Source organism: Homo sapiens, chromosome 17 (assembly GCF_000001405.40).
Source record: "Homo sapiens chromosome 17, GRCh38.p14 Primary Assembly".
Taxonomy (NCBI): domain Eukaryota; kingdom Metazoa; phylum Chordata; class Mammalia; order Primates; family Hominidae; genus Homo; species Homo sapiens.
The window spans coordinates 35526272-35538460 of record NC_000017.11 but is presented as its reverse complement, the minus strand read 5'-3'; the positions used below and the strand labels follow the sequence as shown (position 1 = coordinate 35538460).

At 40.8% G+C, this 12189-nt stretch overlaps 1 protein-coding gene across 2 annotated transcripts in view, besides 1 other annotated feature; it reads left to right on the top strand.

Moving 5' to 3' along the window:
- Nucleotides 1-782: 782 nt before the first annotated feature.
- SLFN12L (schlafen family member 12 like) overlaps nucleotides 783-12189 on the top strand; it is a 73425-nt gene continuing 62018 nt past the window's right edge. For both annotated transcript variants that reach the window (NM_001363830.2, NM_001195790.3), the window contains exon 1: nucleotides 783-888. The gene's annotated coding sequence lies outside the window, so the exon portion shown is untranslated. The remainder of the gene's footprint in view (nucleotides 889-12189) is intronic.
- Nucleotides 1376-1455: an enhancer, noted in NCBI's record as "active region_12073". NCBI's record gives its function as "activates an Ori minimal core promoter by ATAC-STARR-seq in GM12878 lymphoblastoid cells {active_cell/tissue: GM12878}" and the evidence as "EXISTENCE:reporter gene assay evidence [ECO:0000049][PMID:35858748]".

Here is a 12189-nt window from a genome sequence, read left to right as displayed (position 1 = left end):
ATGATTGCTAAATCCACACTGTAATAATTTTTTCAATGTATAAGGATAGAAACCCAAAAAAAATGGAACAAGAAACCAACAAGAGCTCAAGGGAATTGTGACTCCTACAGCTGTTGAGGGAGACAGCAGGTCAAAAAGTAGCAGAAACTTGATCAGAACAATAGCAACAGTATTAGCAGCTAAATTAATAGCAGTGAATCCATCTCGGCTCTAATTACAACAACTATTAGGATTATGGAGGCTACTATAAAAATTGAATGAGAAAGTCAGTGAGATGCACTGTTTAATTTCCTTTCTGGCTCTTTCACTGTTTCTTTTTGTTTTGTTTTTTCCCTTTTCCTTGCCAATAAAAAATATTTGTTGAGTAACTCAGGCCTACTGTACAAAGTAACAATTCTCTCCTCCCTTTCCATCTTCTTCCTCTCCAGTTCTACTTCTGAGAAAGTAATCCTTAATAACAGTTTGGTGTGTATCCAAAAAAGCTTTTTTGTAGCATTATTCTCCAAAGTGTTTGAAGCATTTCTTCTGATAAAGTTTCTTTAGTCTTTAGCCAGAACTAGTCTTTGGCCCACTTAGTCTATTGATAAACAGGAAATAGCACATATTCCCCCCTTGAGGCTAGAATGGCAGGCCTAAAATGAGTAGGAGAATTCTGAGAAATGGAAACTTTAAAAAGGCGGCAACCTTCTAGTTTCATTCTCAGAAATACCAAAGCAGCATTTTTCCTGGACTTGTTCTGCAGAGCGCTCAGATTTGAAAGCCATTTCTAGCCTTTGAGGATTACCACTGTCCTCAGCCAAACTGCAGGGACTCCTAAGTAGATCAGAGCTCCTGGAACTTTCTCATCTTTTCAGCATCTCAACCCTGTGGAATCTTTTAACTCCCAAGGTAAGTACAGATTGTCCAGAGAGATCTAAGCCATGCTTATTCAATGGAATGGAGAGTCTCTCAAAGAGACCTCATAACTCTAAGATGAAAATCTCCTCTGTGGCTACAGACTTTTCCAGATATACCCACTTTAGGCAAGAGAGGATGAAGTAGACACTTTAGGTCTACACTTTTAATAAATAAGTGAAATAGACAATGAGAGGAGCTGGTCCTTAGACTGTACTCACCTTGTAGCTGAGGCCAGGGATGTAGGACTCAAGCCCAGAGGAACCTGGCTGGGCTGAGAGAAAGAGATGTAGAGGGTTCTCATAGTTCTGGGGAACAAACCTTCAGATAAGACAAGTGAGGAGACTTGGGAGGAAGGGATGCCTGTGAAGATTCTCTTTTTTTTTTGAGACAGGTTCTCACTCTTTCGCCCAGGCTGTCGTGCAGTGGTGCGATCACAACTCACTGCAGCTTCGACCTTCCAGGGCTCAAAGGATCCTCCTGCTTCAGCCTTTGAAAGTGCGGGGACTACAGGCACTGAGCGTGAGGGTGCCTGGCTAATTTTTTTCGTTTCTGTAGAGAGGAAGTCTTGCTAGATTGACCAGGCTGGTTTCAAACTCCTGACCTCAAGTAATCGTCCCACCTTGGCCTCCCAATGTGCTGGGATTATAGACATTAGCCACCGTACCCAGCCTCGCCTGTGAAGATTCTTTAGCAGTTAGCTGATTGCTTCATCACTATGAAAAGGGGTTTCTTATTTTTCTTATTTTTTTTTTTTTGAGACAGGCTCTCACTCTGTCACCCAGGCTGGAGTGCAGTGATGCAATCGTGGCTCACTGCAGTCTCAACCTCCCTAGGCTCAAGTGATCCTCCCGTCTCAGACTCTCGAGGAGCTGGGACTATAGACCATGCACCACCACACCCAGCTAATTTTTTTATATTTTGTAGAGACTGGATTTCCTTGCTCAGACTGGTCTCAAACTCCTGGGCTCAAGCAATCTGCCCACCTTAGCCTCCCAAAGTGCTGGGATTACATGCATGAGCCACTGAGCCCAACTGTGTTTTTTTGTTTTTCGTAATATATAAACTATTTTGTTTTCAGAGAAACTTAAGCTATATTGACTGGGAAACTGTGATCTAGTTGGATTTAGATATAATGTTTGCAAATGTGTCACTGCATTGGGTCTTTTTGTTTACCAACATTAATTAAAGCAGATACTTGTGAAGGCCCTAGATGTTCTGTCTAGCTGTGTTTTTACATGTGACTTTTGCTTGCCTGTGTTTAACAGAAATAGACCTATGTTTTTCTTGTTATCAAATGTGTTTTATAAAATAAATGCTATCACAAATACCAGGGAGATTATTCCAGAATGGTTATTCTTACCAGAGTAATGAAAACTCTCTTGTCTTCCAAGAGGCCTAATAATTTGGGAGACCAGTTTGCACAATGATTAAGAGTCTAGATTTTTGGCCGGATGTGGTTGCTCATGCCTGTAATCCCAGCACTTTGGGAGACCAAGGTGGGAAGATCGCTTGAGCCCAGAAGTTTGAGAACAGCCTGGATAACATAGCAAGACCCCATCTCTACAAAACAAACAAACAAACAAACAAACAAACAAACAAACTAGCCAGGGCCGGGTGTGGTGGCTCACGCCTGTAATCCCAGCACTTTGGGAGGCCGAGGAAGGTGGATCATTTGAGGTCAGGAGTTCAAGACCAGCCTGGCCAACATGGTAAAACCCTGTCTCTACTAAAAATACAAAAATTACCTGGGAGTGGTGGTGCGTGCCTGTCATTCCAGCTACTCAGGAGGCTGAGGTGGAAAGATCACTTGAACCCAGGAGGTGGAGGGTGCGGTTAGCTGAGATCCTGCCACTGCCTTCGAGCCTTGGCGGCAGAGCAAGAATCCATCTCAAAAACAAAAACAAAAAAAGCTAGCCAGGCATGGTGGCGTACACCTGTAGTCCCAGCTACTTGGGAGGCTGAGGTGGGAGGACTGCTTGAGTTCGGGTGGTGAAGGCTGCAGTGAGCTATGACTGCACCACTGCACTCCAGCCTGGATGACAGAGCAAGACCCTGTTGCTTTAAAAAAAAAAAAAGGCTGGGTGCGGTGCTGTAATCCCAGCACTTTGGGAGCCTGAGGTGGGCGGATCACCTGAGGTCGGGAGTTCAAGACCAGCCTGAACAACGTGGAGAAACCCCGTCACTACTAAAAATAAAAAAAAAAAAATTAGCTAGGCAAGGTGGCACATGTCTGTAATCCCAGCTACTAGGGAGGCTGAGGCAGGAGAATTGCTTGAACCTGGGAGGTGGAGGTTGTGGTGAGCCGAGATCACGCCATTGCACTCCAGCCTGGGCAACAAGAGTGAAACTCCATCTAAAAAAAAAAAAAAAAAAGGAGAAAGAGAGAGTCTAGGTTTTGATTAGAAACACTAGCATTTGGAATCAAATACTCCTGGATTTGAGCCTCACCCATATGACTCTGAATATGTCCCCCAACCTCAGTTTCCTCATTGGTAAAATAAAGATAATAGTATTTGTTGTGAGAAAGCAATGAGATAATGTATGTAAAGTTTTTGGTACAGTTCCTGGCTCAATAAATGTTAGCTCTTTCAGCTCATGAGGAGCACCACAAGCATTAACCTTCCTACTATGCCCTTTGTTTTTATTTGCTCTTGATTGATTAGCTCTTCCTGTATCAGAACTCTTGATCCCAGGCCTTGATAGAGATTTCTGCTTTTGGCTGCTTAAGCTTTGGCATATATCCAGGTTCTCTCTCCACATTTGGATCCTTTCTCCCTTTCAATGTTTGGCTAAGCTATGGTTTTTAATCTGGGGTGAGAAGCAGTATCTCATAAACAGCTCCCGCCAGTGACTGGGCCCATTCTGGTTCTTATCCATTGGATTGAGATGGAAGAGGAGCAATTGAAATAATAGACATGAATTCCCATCAATTGCCAGGTCCCTCGGCTTACTTCTAAATCTCTCTCAACTCTGCCGGCTTAATTCTAAATCTCTCTCAACTCTGCCTACTTCTCCACTGTCCCCACCTTAGTCCACATCACCATCTGTTCTCATTTGGGCTGCTGAAACCATATCCTGAAAGGTCTTTTCCATGACTGCTCTAACCTGCTTCAGCTAGAAAGGACTTTGAAAAATGTTCATCTGATGCTGTGTCTTCCTGCTTAACAACCTCCAATGGCTTCCCATTACTTTTTGTTTTTTTTGAGACGGAGTCTTGCTCTGTTGCCAGGCTGGAGTGCAGTGGGACGATCTCAGCTCACTGCAACCTCCGCTTCCCGGGTTCAAGAGATTCTCCTGCCTCAGCCTCCCGAGTAGCTGGGACTGCAGGCATGTGCCACCATGCCCGGCTAATTTTTTGTATTTTTAGTAGAGATGGGGTTTCACCGTGTTAGCCAGGATGGTCTCCATCTCTTGACCTCATGATCTGCCCACCAGGGCCTCCCAAAGTGCTGGGATCACAGGCATGAGACACCGTGCCCAGGCCTTTCTTTTGAGACAGAGTCTCCTTCTGTTGCCCAGCCTGGAGTGCAGTGGCATGATTTTGACTCACTGCAAACTTTGCCTCCCAGGTTAAAGCAATTCTCGTGCCTCAGCCTCCCAAGTAGCTGGGACTACAGGTGCAGCCTGGTTAATTTTTGTATTTTTAGTAGAGATGAGGTTTCACTATGTTGGCCAGGCTGGTCTCGAACTCCTGACCTCAGGTGATCTGCCCGCCTCGGCCTCCCAAAGTGCTGGGATTACAGGCGTGAGCTATGGTGTCTGGCCAGCTTCCCATTACTCTTAGGGTAAAGCCAGGAACCCTTAAAGTGGCTTACCAGACAATGCACAGCTGGACACCTGAGCATGGTTCCAACCTCATCTCCTGCCTCTATCCTTCCAGCTCTGTGCTGTCAGTCTTTTGAACTTGACATACTCCTTCTTACTTCTGTCTAGAAAATTCTTCCCCCCCTTCTTCACCAAATTAACTCTTCACCTCATTTGCATTCTTCAGATCTTAACTCAAATGTTACTTTTTCTGGAAATCCTTCTCTGAACCCATTCCCTCTCCAACTGCCAGGTGAGGGCAGTGTTTCCATTCTAAGCTCCCCTGACATTCTAAACTTTTGTCCATAGGAGTCACTTGTTTACTGTCAACCTCCTCAAGAACAGGGACCAGGTTTGTTTTGTTCACCACTGTCTTTTCTGGATTTAGCACAGTGCTAGGCAAATAATAGATTTCCAATAAATATTTGTTGAGTAAATGATTTATGACTATTATTTATGGTTAAGTATGAATTGAGAGCAATTTCAACAATTGAGAAGTACCTAGTTCATTAATATGCATCTTTTAAAAATAGTTTCTACATACAACATTGTGTTAAGCATCTTCTTGATGAAATGTAACATATAACTAAAAGCATAACAACTTGAAAGGGTTGTAGAGGTGTTATGTGATAAAAGCAGAATATAAAATTCTGTTTATTTGATGTTTACAAATTGTAAAACAATGTAATATTATTAAGATGATAAGAGATAAGGCTGAAAATATTATTGATCACCATAATATTGTTTATAAAGTATATAAAACTGAATGTTGTAGCCTGCCATTTTTTGTGTGTCAAACAATATATATTTAATAATGTGATAATTATATGATTTTGAAGTTTTTTTGTTTTTGTCTTTTGGTTTGTTTTTGTTTTTGAGACAGGGTCTCACCAGGCTGGAGTGCAGTGGAATGATTTTTGTTCACTGCAACCTCTGCCTCCTGGGTTCTAGTGATTCTCCTGCCTCAGCCTCCTGAGTAGCTGGGATTACAGGCACCTGCCATCATGCCTGGCTAATTTTTGTATTTTCAGTAGGGGTGAGGATTTCACTGTGTTAGCCAGGCTGGTCTTGAACTCCTGGCCTCAAGTGATATGCCTGCCTTGGCCTCCCAAAGTGTAAGGATTATAGGTGAGAGCCACGGTGCCTGGCCTGATTTTGAAGTTTTAAAAAAAGTTTTCCAGTAATCCCAACGGAGCCAGGTACTTTATAAAATTTTTCTTGATAACGTCCCTCAGGCTTTTTATTCTGTTATTGATTTATCTGCACTATCAATTTTTTATTAAACAAGCTTTGCTTTTGTGCCTTTTTTTTTTTTTTTGAGATGGAGTCTCACTCCCTTTTGCACAGGCTGGAGTGCAGTGGTGCAATCTCGGCTCACTGCAACCTCCAACTCCCAGGTCCAAGCAATTCTCCTTCCTCAGCCTCCCAAGTAGCTGGCATAAGAGGCATGTGCCACCACGCCCAGCTAATTTTTGTATTTTTAGTAGAGTCGGGGTTTCGCTATGTTGGCCAGGCTGGTCTCAAACTCCTGACCTCAGGTGATCCACTCGCCTCGGCCTCCCAAAGGATTACAGGCGTGAGCCACTGTGCGCGGCCTGTGCCTATTTTTAAAAACCATTCATTTATGTTTTCAAATTTCTTAATACATATTTTGATGGAACCAAATCTTTCTCAGGTATGATTTTAGAGGAAGAAATCTACTAGAGTTTTCTGTGTATTGATTTTTTTCTTTGGGTCTTAAAGGGAGAAGAAAAGATTAGCAGTTCTTGAGGTTTCTATTTCATACAAAATAATTTGCACTTTTAGATGTAGAAGAGAGTTGTCAGGCCGGGCTGGGTGGCTCACACCTATAATCCCAGCACTTTGGGAGGCCGAGGTGGGTGGATCACCTGAGGTCAGGATTTCACGACCATCCTGGCCAACACGATGAAACCCCATCTCTATTAAAAAAATAAAAATAAAAAAAATTTAAAAAGTTAGCCAGGCGTGGTGGCAGGAACCTGTAATTCCAGCTACTTGGGAGGCTGAGGCAGGAGACTCACTTGAACCTGCGAGATGGAGGTTGCAGTGAACCGAGATCGCGCCACTGCACTCCAGCCTGGGCAACAAGAGTGAAACTCCATCTCAAAAATAAATAAATAAATAAGTAAATATAATAAAAGAAGAGAGTTGCCAATATGAAAATTTTATCCATGGAAACCAATGGCATGCTATACTTGAAAGAACATGTCCATAGGAATAAACATTAAAACTTTAAAGCTTGTATGTCACAAATGGCACTTTGTATAAATAATCTGACAAGGTTGTTTTAATGGTCATAAAATACAGAAGAAGACAGTTGTAAGCTTTATTACAAGGCACGTATCAGACATATGAGTAAGATCATGAAAGATCTGGCCTTCTACATAATTTCCTGCTCAGAAGTCTATTTCCTTTTCACACCTGCATCAACCACCATTTTATTTGTTCATTTCTTTAAAATAATAAAGATGCTAGTGAAAAAAATAAAAGTGCTAGTGGGTTGTCTAAAAAGATGGAAAACCAGACAAAAAAGCAAAACAAGGAAAAACAAAACTTTTAATCTTGTTAATTAATCAAATAAATTGTTTTTTAATTTTTCAATTTCCTCCTGCCCTTACATTTATTATTCCCTTTATTTTGTGTTCCTTTGTGATCTAGTTCTTTTTCTAAGTTCTGTAAATTCACTCTACTTTTATCTTTCTCTTTAACCAATATAGGCATTTGGGGCTATGGATTTTTCTTCACATATGTTTAAGCCACGTTATGGCAATTTGTTGTGACCTAAACCATATGTCCCCAGCAGACAGATTCTTAGTATCTCTGACAGGACTGTGTTTAGTGTGAGCTTTCATTGAATGTTTCCTGCGCTACTGAATCAAATAACGAAATGTTTTCACGGCATGCACGAATGCATAGTCAAGCAAAAGAAAAAAGTGATTGTGCAGGTTGTGGCACAATTCTGAGAGTCTTAGGAGCCCCCTTCTCACCATAGCACAGTTAAGTTTTATTGATTTGCACAACCACTCCCAAATACAAGTTCTTTGAAATAAAAAAGACTAAGAATCATTGATGTTCCTTTTACTCCATTTGTCAGATTTACCACGTCCCTTGGCCATCTTCATTTCCCCCACTATCTACATAAGAATGTATAGTCCAAAAGTTTAACTTCTCTCCCTTTCTCTTTCTTTCTTTCTTTCTTTTCTTTTCTTTTCTTTTCTTTTCTTTTCTTTCTTTCTTTCTTTCTTTCTTTCTTTCTTTCTTTCTTTCTTTCTTTCTTTCTTTCTTTCTTTCTTTCTTCCCTTCCCTTCCCTTCCTTCCTTCCTTCCTTCCTTCCTTCCTTCCTTCCTTCCTTCCTTCCTTCCTTCCTTCCTTCCTTTCTTTCTCTTTTTTTTTCTGACAGAGTCTCACTCTGTCACCAGACTGGAGTGCAGTGGCACAATCTTGGCTCACTGCAACCTCCGCCTCCCGGGTTCAAGTGATTCTCCTGCCTCAGCCTCCCGAGTAGCTAGGACTACAGGTGCCTGCCACCACGCCTGACTAATTTTTTGTATTTTTCGTAGAGACGGGGTTTCACCATGTTGGCCAGGATGGTCTCGATCTCAAAAAAAAAAAAAAAAAAAAGACAAAGCAGTCACCCAGGAGGCTAGCCAGGGTACCAAAAGACGTGACAGATGACGTTTATGAGGTTATAATGTTAGTCGGAAGAGTATGGGTTTCTCTTTCAGTATGGGTTTGAGTGACTTTGAGAAAGTTAATTAATGTTTCTGAGCTTCCATCTCTTCAACTTTTTTCTTTTCTAATCTATTTTATTTTTTATTTACTATTATTATTTTTATTATTTCAATAGTTTTAGGGGAACAGGTGGTATTTTGTTATATGGACAAGTTCTTTTCTTATTATACTTTAAGTTCTGGGGTACATGTGCAGAATGTGCAGGTTTGTTACATAGGTATTCACATGCCATGGTGGTTTGCTGCACCCACCAACCCGTCACCCACATTAGGTATTTCTCCTAATGTTGTCCCTCCCCTAGCCCCCCACCCCCAGATATGCCCCAGTGTGTGATGTTCCCCTTTATGTGTCCGTGTGTTCTCATTGTTCAACTCCCACTTATGAGAGAGAACATGTGGTATTTGGTTTTCTGTTCTTGTGTTAGTTTGCTGAGAATGATGGTTTCCAGCTTCATCCATGTCCCTGCAAAGCAATGCACTCATCCTTTTTAATGGCTGCATAGTATTCCATGGTGTATATGTGCCACATTTTCTTTATCCAGTCTATCATTGATGGACATTTGGGTTGGTTCCAAGTCTTTGCTATTGTGAATAGTGCCACAATAAACATATGTGTGTATGTGTCTTTATAGCAGAATAATTTATAATCCTTTGGGTATATACCCAGTAATGGGATTGCTGGGTCAAATGGTATTTCTGGTTCCAGATCCTTGAGGAATTGCCACACTGTCTTCCACAATGGTGGAACTAATTTACACTCCCATCAACAGTGTAAAAGCATTCCTATTTCTCCACATCCTCTCCAGCATCTGTTGTTTCCTGACTTTTTAATGATCGCCATTCTAACTGGCATGAGATGGTATCTCATTGTGGTTTTGATTTGCTTTTCTCTAATGACCAGTGATGATGAGCTTTTTTTCATATGTTTGTTGGGTGCATAAATGTCTTCTTTTTGAGAACTGTCTGTTCATATCCTTTGCCCACTTTTTGATGGGGTTGTTTGTTTTTTTCTTGTGAATTTGTTTAAGTTCCTTGTAGATTCTGGATATTAGCCCTTTGTCACATGGATAGATTGCAAAAATTTTTTCCCATGCTGTAGATTGCCTGTTCACTCTGATGTTAGTTTCTTTTGCTGTGCAGAAGCTCTTTAGTTTAATTAGATCCCATTTGTCAGTTTTGGCTTTTGTTGCCATTGCTTTTGGTGTTTTAGTCATGAAGTCTTTGCCAATGCCTATGTCCTGGATGTTATTGCCTAGGTTTCCTTCTAGGATTTTTATGGTTTTAGGTCTTACATTTAAGTCTTTAATCCATCTTGAGTTAATTTTTGTATAAGGCATAAGGAAGGGGTCCACTTTCAGTTTTCTGCATGTGGCTAGCCAGTTTTCCCAACACCATTTATTGAATAGGGAATCCTTTCCCCATTGCTTGTTTTTGTTAGGTTTGTCAGATCAAATGGTTGTGGATGTGTGGTGTTATTTCTGAGGCCTCTGTTCTGTTCCATTGGTCTATATGTCTGTTTTGGTACCAGCACCATGCTGTTTTGGTTATTGTAGCCTTGTAATATAGTTTGAAGTAGGGTAGCTTGATGCCTCCAGCTTTGTTCTTTTTGCTTAGGATTGTCTTGGCTATGCAGGCTTGGTTCTATATGAAGTTTAAAGTAGTTTTTTCCAGTTCTGTGAATAAAGTCACTGGTAGCTTGATGGGGATAGCATTGAATCTGTAAATTACTTTGGGCAGTATGGCCATTTTCACAATATTGATTCTTCCTATCCATGAGCATGGAATGTTTTTCCATTTATTTGTGTCCTCTCTTATTTCCTTGAGCAGTGGTTTGTAGTTCTCCTTGAAGAGGTCCTTCACATCCCTTGTAAGTTGTATTCCTAGGTATTTTATTCTCTTTGTAGCAATTGTGAATGGGAGTTCACTCATGATTTGGCTGTCTGTCTGTTATCGGTGCATAGGAATGCTTGTGATTTTAGCACATTGATTTTGTATCCTGAGACTTTGCTGAAGTTGCTTATAAGCTTAAGGAGATTTTTGGGCTGAGACTGTGGGGTTTTCTAAATATACAATCATGTCATCTGCAAACAGAGACAATTCAACTTCCTCTTTTCCTACTTGAATACCCTTTATTTCTTTCTCTTGCCTCATTTCCCTGGCCAGAACTTCCAATACTATGTTGACTAGGAGTGGTGAGAGGGGGCATCCTTGTCTTGTGCTGGTTTTCAAAGGGAATGTATCCAGCTTCTGCCCATTCAGTATGATACTGGCTGTGGGTTTGTGATAAATAGCTCTTATTATTTTGAGGTACGTTCCATCGATACCTAGTTTATTGAGAATTTTTAGCATGGAGGGGTGTTGAATTTTGTTGAAGGCCTTTTCTGCATCTATTGAGATAATCATGTGGCTTTTGTCATTCGTTCTGTTTATGTGATGGATTACGTTTATTGATTTGCGTATGTTCAACCAGCCTTGCATCCCAGGGATGAAGCTGACTTGACTGTGGTGGATAAGCTTTTTGATGTGCTGCTGGATTCGGTTTGCCAGTATTTTTTTGAGGATTTTTTGCATTGATGTTCATCAAAAAAAATTTTCTTTTTTTTGTTGTATCTCTACCAGGTTTTGGTATCAGGATGATGCTGGCCTCATAAAATGAGTTAGGGAGGATTCCCTCTTTTTCTATTGTTTAGAATAACTTCAGAAGGAATGGTACCAGCTCCTCTTCATACCTCTGGTAGAATTCAGCTGTGAATCTGTCTGGTCCTGGAGTTTTTCTGGTTGGTAGGGTATTAATTACTGCCTCAATTTCAGAAGCTGTTATTGGTCTATTCAGGGATTCGACTTCTTCCTGGTTTAGACTTGGGAGGGCCTATGCGTCCAGGAATTTATCCATTTCTTCTAGATTTTCTAGTTTATTTGCATAGAGGTGTTTACAGTATTCTCTGATGGTGGTTTGCATTTCTGTGGGATTCGTGGTGATATCCCCTTTATGATTTTTTTATTGCATCTATTTGATTCTTCTCTCTTTTCTTCTTTATTAGTCTCGGTAGTAGTCTATCTATCTTGTGGATCTTTTCAAAAAACCAGCTCCTAGATTCATTGAATTTTTGAAGGGGTTTTTGTGTCTCTATGTCCTTCATTTATGCTCTGATCTTAGTTATTTCTTGTCTTCTGCTAGCTTTTGAATTTGTTTGCTGTCGCTTCTCTAGTTCTTTTAATTGTGATGTTAGGGTGTCGATTTTAGATCTTTCCTGCTTTTTCTTGTGGGCATTTAGTGATATAAATTTCCCTCTACACACTGCTTTAAATGTGTCCCAGAGATTCCGGCACGTTGTGTCTTTGTTCTCATTGGTTATGAAGAACGTCTTTATTTCTGCCTTCATTTCGTTATTTACCTGGTAGTCATTCAGGAGCAGGTTGTTCAGTTTCCATGTAGTTATGTGGTTTTGAGTGAGTTTCTTAATCCTGAGTTCTAATTTGATTGCACTGTGGACTGAGAGGATTTTTGTTATGATTTCTGTTATTTTGCATTTGCTGAGGAGTGTTTTACTTCTAATTATGTGGTCAATTTTAGAATAAGTGCCATGAGGTGCTGAGAAGAATGTATATTCTGCTGATTTGCAGTGGAAAGGTCTGTAGATGTCTATTAGATCCGCTTGGTTCAGAGCGGAGTTGAAGTCCTGAATATCCTTGTTAATTTTCTGTCTCGTTGATCTGTCTAATATTGACTGTAGAG